This window comes from Homo sapiens, chromosome 6 (genome assembly GCF_000001405.40).
Source record: "Homo sapiens chromosome 6, GRCh38.p14 Primary Assembly".
NCBI lineage: Eukaryota > Metazoa > Chordata > Mammalia > Primates > Hominidae > Homo > Homo sapiens.
In genome coordinates, this window is record NC_000006.12 from 106,899,305 (window position 1) to 106,906,821 (window position 7,517).

Sequence of the window (7,517 nt, forward strand, 5' to 3'; positions counted from 1 at the left end):
TATATAATATTCATAAATTAAAAATACAATTACCTTGTTAAATAAAATGTTTAAAATAAAAATACAGAAATTACCTTTCTCTTTTAAAAATGTTATGCGTGTCTTTGGATCAATGTGAAAATAGAGTAGCCCTAGTTTGACACAATACTTTTTCCCAAAAAATAGCTATAAGGAATATTTCTCTGATACAGAACTTATTTCCTATCAACTCTCACTATAAAATAAATAATGTGGTCCCATTGGGAAAAAAAAAATCCCTCACTAAACTAAGTTTTAAAAGAGTTGAATAAGAAAGAAAACTCTCAGTAGTGATCTTACAGTACTTTTAAAACTTACAGATATACTCAACAGATAGCATAGTTTCTGTTAATAAAGGTCTCATCCTCCCACCTGTCCATCCAATCAACAGGTCACCCAATTCCTGATCTGCTGGTGTCCTGGAGAAGCCCTGGTGTACAAGACAGGCCATCTTTCCACTCTGAAGCAAGCAGGTCGCTGCCTCAGTCCGTCCAGGCTGCTGTAACAGACTGCCATAGAGCAGGCAGCCAATGGACAACAGAAAGTTATTGCTCACAGTTCTAGAGGCTGAGAAGTCCAAGATCAAGGCACCAGATTCAGTGTCTGGTGAGGGCTCACTTCCTAGTTCATAGATGGAGGGCCGACTTCTCACTGTTAGTTTCTCACATGGACAAAGGGGCAAGGGACCTCTCGGGGGTCTCTTTAATTTATTTATTTATTTACTTATTTATTGAGACAGAGTCTCATCCTGATACCCAGGTTGGAGTGCAATGCATCCGCCACCATGCCCAGCTAATTTCTGTAGGTTTAGTAGAGACAGTTTCACCACATTGGCCAGGCTAGTCTTGAACTCCTGACTTCAAGTGATCTACCTGCCTCAGCCTCCAAAAGTGCTGGGATCACAGGCATGAGCCACCACACCCAGCCTGGGGGTCTCTTTTAAAAGAACACTAATCCCTTTCATGTGTGCTCTGCCCACATGACCTAATCTTCTTCCTAAGGCCCCACCTTCAAATACCATCACAGTGGGGATTAGGTTTTAACATATAAATTTAAATTTGGGCAGCAAAGACACATATGTAGTCTACAGCCACTATAAATGATTACAATTAGTGGGTACATGGAACCCTGAGAGCAGAAAAGGGGGCAGCTGGAAGTAGTGAACAGCCTTTTTGGACAATGTCCTGATAAATTTACTTAGAATTTCTTATCCTTTCGTAATATTTTTTAGTTGCAAATTTCCATGTAAATCTCATTGGTTCCCTGTTTGGCTAGGGGAACAGATCCCTTACAATAGCCTTCCTATTGGATACTGAAATTATCTGCTCCCTCCCCCTGGAGAGCTGAGACCATGTGTCCAGTTCATCTAGTCCTTTCAGGGCCTGGCTCAAATAATATATTTAATAAATGTGTGGTTGATATAGTTTGGATATTTGTCCTCACCCAAATCTCACGTTGAATTGTAATCCCCAGTGCTGGAGGTCTCAGGTATTTCTTTATAACAATGAAAGAACAGCATAACACAGAAAATTGGTACCAAGGAATGGGGCATTACTATAAAGATACATGAAAATGTGGAAGCAACTTTGGACCTGGGTAACAGGTAGAGGTTGGAAGAGTGTGGAGGGCTCAGAAGAAGACAGGAACATGAGGGAAAGTTTGGAACTCCTTAGAGACTGATTAAATGGTTATAACCAAAATGCTGATAGTGAAATGGACAGTGAAGTCCAGGCTGAGGAGGTCTCAGGTGGAAATGATAAAATTATTGGGAACTGGGGCAAAGGTTACATGTTTCATACCTTAGCGAAGGACTTGGCTGCATTCTGTTCGTGCCCTAGGGATCTGTGGAAGTTTGAATCTAAGAGTGATGAACCAGGGTATCTGGCAGAAGAAAAGCAACAAAGTGTTCAAGATGCGGCCTGGCTGCTTCTAACAACCTAATTTCAGATGCAGGAGCCAAGCAATGACTTAAAGTTGGAACTTCTATTTAAACAGGCAGCAGAGCATGAAAGTTTGGAAAATTTGCAGCATAGCCATGTGGCAAAGAAAAACAAGCTTTTTTATGAGGGGAATTCAAGCAGGCTGTGGAACAACCACTTGCTAGAGATACTTGCATAACTAAAAGGGATCCAAGTGCTAATATCCAAGACAATGGGGAAAAGGCCTCAAAGGCATTTCAGAAATCTTCATGACAGCCCCTCCAATCACAGGCCCTAGGGTCTAAGAGGGCTGAATGGTTGTGTGGGCCAGACCCAGAGTTCTACTGCCCTGTGCAGCCTTGGGACACTGCTCCCCATATCCAGGTCACACCCCTCAAGCTAGGGCTCAAAGGGGCCAAGTTACAGCTCAGGCTGCTACTTTGGAGGGCACAAGCCATAGGCCTTGGTGGCTTCCATGTGGTGTTCAGCCTACAGGTACACATAATACAAAGTGGTGGATTCTTGGCAGCCTCTGCCTAGATTTCAGAGGATGTATAGAAATGCCTGGGTGTTCAGGCAGAAGCCCACTGCAGAGGTGGAGCTCTCACAGAGAGCCTCTACCACAGCAGTGCAGAGGGGAAATGTGGGGTTGGGGGCCCCACACAGATTTCCCACTGGTGCACTTCCTAGTGGAGCTATGAGAAGGGGGCCATCGTCCTCTAGACTTCAGAATGTAGAGTCACTGACAGCTTGCACCCTGTGCGTGGAATAGCCACGAGCACTCCTCTCCAGCCTTTGAGAGCAGCTTTAGGGGCTAAACCCTGAAAAGCCACAGTGGTAGAGCTGTCCAAGGCCTTGGGAGCCCACCCTTCTTATCAGTATGCCCTGGATGTAGGACAAAGGAGATTATTTTGGAGCTTTAAGATTTAATGACTACACTGCTGGGTTTTAAATTTGTTTGGGGCATGTAGCCCCTCTCTTTTAGCCAATTTTTCCCTTTTAAAATGGAAATGTTTGCCCAATGCTTATACTCCCATTGTATCTTGGAAGTAACCAACTTGTTTTTTCATTTTACAGGCTCATGAGTAGAAGAGATTTGCCTTGTCTCAGGTGAAACTTTGGACTTTTAAGTTAATGCTGGAATGAGTTACAACTTTCAGGGATTATTGGGAAGGCATGATTGGATTTTACAATGTAAGAAAAACATGCAATTTGAGAGGGGCCAGGGACAGAATGATATAGTTTGGCTATTTTGCCCCACCCAAATTTCATATTGAATTGTAATTCCCAATGCTACAGGTGGGTCCTGGTTGGAGGTGTTTGGATCATGGGGGTAGATCCCCCATGGCTTGGTTTTGTTTTTGTGATAGTGAGTTCTCATGAGATCTGATCATTTAAAAGTGTGTGGCACCTGCCCCTCACTTTCACTTGCTTGCTCCTGCTTTCCTCATGCAACATGCCTGCTCCACCTTTGCCTTCCACCATGACTGTAAGTTTCCTGAGGCCTCCCTAGAAGCTGAGCAGATGCCAGCACCATGCTTTCTGAAAGCCTGCAGAACCATGAGCCAAATAACCCTCTTTCACTATAAATTATCCAGCCTCTGATATTTCTTTATAGCAATGCAAGAATGGCCTAATACAGTGGTGAATTGTTTTCTGATGGGTAACAGATGGCACATCCTTGCCTTCTATGAGGATACGTGAAATTCACTCTGTGAATCTAAATAATGACAAATTAGTGAGAATGATTATTCATTACTGGTAGAAAGTGGGGGTGGGGGAGCTTAAAGGTATTATTCTTAAGTGCAAACATGTAAAATAGTTTACACTTAGGTACTCTGTGAACACTTCTCCTGATCTTATCCAGATAGTGGCCATAGTGGTGACCTGGGATGGCCCAGGCATGGTGAGAGCCTCAACAGATCAAAGGCCGCCACTCATCTACATGTATGCATATAGCAAAACAAAATGTATTAACATTGGTGTATTCATCAACTTGTCTGCTCCTTTCATTCACCAAAGAGGATCCCAAAATTTCTGGTCCAACTTCCCTTCCTTCCAGCGACACCCAGCCTCTGAGGAGAGGCCACTCTGCGCAGTTCCTCCTGAAGTTTATATGAAAAGGAAGTCAAAGGAGGAGGAAGAGTTTGTAGGGAAGAAAAAAACCGTTTTTCCTCTACCCTCCTGGGTTCTCCAGCTGGGGGCTTATAAATTAGACTGACAAAAGACAGATTAACAACAGTAGCCAAACAGAAGTTATGTAAATGCATGCATCGGACACACACATGGGAGAACTCAGTGATGAGTAACTCAAAGGGGTGGTTGGAACTTGGGTTTAGACAGCATCTTAACAAAAGAACCATACATGTTTAGAGAAGGGACAAGACAAAGGAAAAGAACTTTTGAGTTTCTAAAGGTGGAAAATTATGGACAGGCAGATATCTGGGGGAACTAATGAAAGATAAAGACTAATTAGTAAGGCTTGTTATGTAGATTTCTCCTGTGCTCTCTCTCGGCTGAAAGGTCTAGAATTGTCTTCGGTATATAACTTCTGTCTTTCCTGGGAGAGAGGGGAGGTGGGGCACCTTTCCAAATGTATGTCCTGCTTTTATGAAAATAGGGGGAGTGTAGAGCTTTTCTTGTATCTGGATCTTTTCTATCGCTTTTAACTCAAAATAATCCTTATGCCAACATGGCATATTTTGGGGTGGCATATTCTGCTACCCTCCAAGTTTAAAGAGATTTAGTCAAGCCACATCTTGAAGAGATCCCACAGCTAGGAGCGAATACACTCAGGCTGGAGAGAGAGTGTTTGAGGTAATATGGTGGCCAAAAAGAAGCTGGAAGTGTGGGTTATGACACAGCTTGTGGAACAAAAAAACGGGGACCTGAGAAGGGCTGCTAGGGAGTATGACAGTCTTCTTTATCAACCTGAAGAGAACTAAATGAAGAAAATAAGCACATATGTATCTATCTGTCTATCTATCTTCTTTGCCTTTTGGGACCACACTTATTTAAACGTGACATTTTTTTCCGGGACTGAATGCTGAAGTCACACAGCATACCTAGACACCTCTGCTTGGTTCTCATGAGAACAGATGTGTGTCTCCCACTCACTGTGTCCACAAATGAACTTCTGATCTTCCTCCACAATCTGCTCTACCCACAGCCACCCCTCCTCAGACGATGACAACTTCAACCTTCCAGACACTTAAGCCAAAACCCGTGATATTCTCCATGACATCTGCCTTCATTCCAACATCAAATTCATCAGGAAATCCTGTAGGCCCTACCTTGCAAATATATCCAGAATCTGACCACTTCTCACCACCACCAGGGCTCCTCCCCATGTGAGCCTCCATGGTCTTGGGTAATAGTAATATTAGGCCTCCCAACCTGCCCCCCCTGCATCCACCTTTGCCTTCCTACTATTCTCAATACAGCAGCCAGAATGATCTTTCTAATAGTAAGTTAGCACATTTTCCTCGTAAGCTCAAAACACTGCAATAGTGTTCCTTTCTCTTAAGATAAAAGCCAACATCCTTTTAACAGCCTAGCAGGATATGTCTTTCCCCACCCATCTTGCTTCATTCACTACTCTCCTTTGGGATGACTACCCTTTGGCCACAATGGCCTCCTCAGTCTTTCACACCCTCACTGAGTATGCTCCAGCTTAGGGACTTAGTAGCCTTAAGGCTCAATAGCCTTAATAGCCTCAAGGCTAACTTCCTCCTCTCCTTTGTAGGGCCTCAGAAAATCATACCCCAAAATGAAGCCCTCAGAAACAAGAGTCTCTCTAACCTTCTGCTGCCCTCCTGTCCCTGGTCCCTCATCCTCCCCAAGGCCAGCCAAAGAAACTAGAATCCTTCTTTCCCAAGGCAGGTCATAGAGACTGAACCCCTTTTCCCAAAGCCAGCCATAAAACCTAAAAATATCATTCTAACACCTCCCCCACCTTTCTGTTTAAAAACTGGCCATAAAGAAATGATCTCACCTACCTTGTTAGACTGTAGGTCATAAGACCCCTATTCCAGAGAGGGCCCTGCCCCATACCCAAAAGTCAGGAATGCTACACAAAGAGGCCAAGAATAATCTGAACAGACAAGCCTTGCTCTGTTTCCCGACCCAGTCTATTACCATTAGGTCATACTTTTTTTGTTCAATCATATTTCTACATAGTTGTCCACACTTTGTTTGAACCTATAAATAAACATAGACAGTTTCCCCATATCTTTGGGTCTTCGTTCTGAAGACTCCCATGTCACATAAAACTATGATCAAATAAATTTGTATGCCTTTTTTCCAATTAATCTGCCTTTTGTCAGTGATTTTCAATGAGCCTTCAGAGGGTGATGGGGAAGGTTTCCCTTTGCTCCTACGCTTTCAAGTCTGCTCAAATGTCACCTTCCTAATGAGATGTACTGCTTTAAAAATTTGCCACTGTCTCGGCCAGGCATGATGGCTCACACCTGTAATCCCAGCACATTGAGAAGCCAAGGTAGGCGGATCACTTGAGGCCAGGAGTTTGAGACCAGCCTGGCCAACATGGTGAAACCCCCTCTCTACCAAAAATACAAGAATGAGCCTGGCGTGGTGGCGGGCCCCTGTAATCCCAGCTACTCGGGAGGCTGAGGCAAGAGAAATCACTTGAACCTGGGAGACAGAGGAGGTTGTGGTTAGCCGAGATCGTGCCACAGCACTCCAGCCTGGGTGACAGAGCAAGACTCCATCTCAAAAATAAATAAATAAATAAATAAATAATTGCCACTCTCCTGTAAAACCCCCATTCCTGATCCCCCTTACCCTGCTCTATTATTTTTAGTACTTACCACCTTATCAATGGTGCTGATTGTTTAGCCCAACCAGAGTGTAAGCTTCGTGAGTGCATGAGGGCAGTGACCTCTGTTTTGATCCCTACTCTATTCCTATCACTTGGAAGAGTGTCTAACACAGTGTAACAGCGCAGTAAGTATTTGATGAATGAATAAATAAGTAAATAAATATAATTGGTTTATACCAATAAGCAATCAAGGATGGCTTCAAGGCTCGGGGACCTACCAGTGCCAGGAGCAGCCATTGTGAGCTGGGCTGTGAGGAGCTAGACTTACCCCATGACAGATGCCAGCTGGGGCTCCGAGTCAAGCTCCGGGGCACCAGACACACAGACTTTTATCTTCATTATTAATCTGCTTTGCAGCAGGACAAAGGCAAGGACATTAAAGTTGACACAATTCAACGACAACTCCTACAGCATTGGTGCTTCTCTTTGTTCGATGGCTGGAAATGCAGCAGGCCCCAAGCTCCAAGCCAGATGAGGGCAGTGGATGGTTTCAACAAAAATCTTGGATATATGGGATAAACTCAAGTGTGGACACGTTTTATAAATTCCTTTCAGGAGGTCTGAGTGCCGAAGCAACTGGACTCCAACACAGTGTCTGGCAGCAGTAGGCAAGGTGGAAAGGAAAGCCAGGGGGAACCTCAGGGGTCTCTTCATCTTTTCTGGGGAGAAATGTTTACCTCTGCACTCTCAAGGTAAGAACAAGCAATGTTTACCCCTTTCACCGTGAATCAGGAACAAAT